We start from the raw sequence: 1,134 nt of genomic DNA, 5'->3' as shown, positions 1-1,134 counted from the left end.
AACCTTGAAACAACCATTCTATTCTCTCTATGATTTTGATACTCTAGTTACCTCATTTAAGTGTAATCATACAGAATTTTTTTTTCAATTGCTCATTTCACTAAACATGTCTTCAAGGTTCATCCATGTAGTAGCATATTCCAGAACTGAATTTCCTCGCCTTTTAAGGCCTAGTAATATTCCATTGTGTGGTGTGCGTGTGTGTGTGTGTGTGTGTGTGTGTGTGTGCATGTGTGTGTATTATACAGATACACAAGACATTTTGCTTATCCATTCTTCTGTCAAGAAACACTTGGGTTGCTTCCACATTTTAGCCATTGTGAATGATGCTGATATGAACAGGGACTCAAATATAGGTTTGAGTTCCGACGAACAGAAACTCAAATATATGTTTCAGTTCTGACGAACAGAAACTCAAATATACGTTTGAGTTCTGACATTTAATTCCTCGGTATATATACCCAGAAATAGAATTGCTTAATCATATGGTAATTCTATTTTTAATCTTTTGAAGAAGTGTTAAAAATTTCCACAGTGGCTGTATTGTGTTACATTCCCTCCAAAAGTGCACAAAAGTTCTAATTTCTCCACATTCTCACCAACACTTGTTATTTTCTGTTTTTTGTTTGTTTGTTTGTTTGTTTTTGTTTTTTTACAGTGGGCTATTCTAATGGATACAAGGTGGCATCTTGTGGTTTTGATTTGTACTTACCTAATTATTAGTGATATCAAGCAGTTTAAAATGTGCTATTGGTCATTCATGTATCTTCTTTAGAGAAATATCTATTGAAATCCTTTGTCCATGTTTGAATCAGGTTGTGGTTGTTGTCGTTGAGCTTTAGGAGTTCTGCATTATTAATCCCTTACCAGATATATGATTTGCAAATATTTTCTCACATATCATAGGTTGCTTTTTTACTCTATTAGTAGTGTCCATTGGCTGAGAGTGGTGGCTCATGCCTGTAATCCCAGCACTTTGGGAGACCAAGGCAGGTGGATTACCTGAGTTCAGGAGTTCAAGACCAGCCTGGTCAACATGGTGAAACCCCGTCTCAACTGAAAATACAAAAATTAGCCGGGTGTAGTGGCGGGCACCTGTAATCTCAGCTACTCCAGAGGCTGAGGCAGGAGAAT

The sequence above is a fragment of the Homo sapiens genome, chromosome 1 (genome assembly GCF_000001405.40).
Source record: "Homo sapiens chromosome 1, GRCh38.p14 Primary Assembly".
NCBI classification, from domain to species: domain Eukaryota; kingdom Metazoa; phylum Chordata; class Mammalia; order Primates; family Hominidae; genus Homo; species Homo sapiens.
This window is presented reverse-complemented; position numbering follows the sequence as displayed.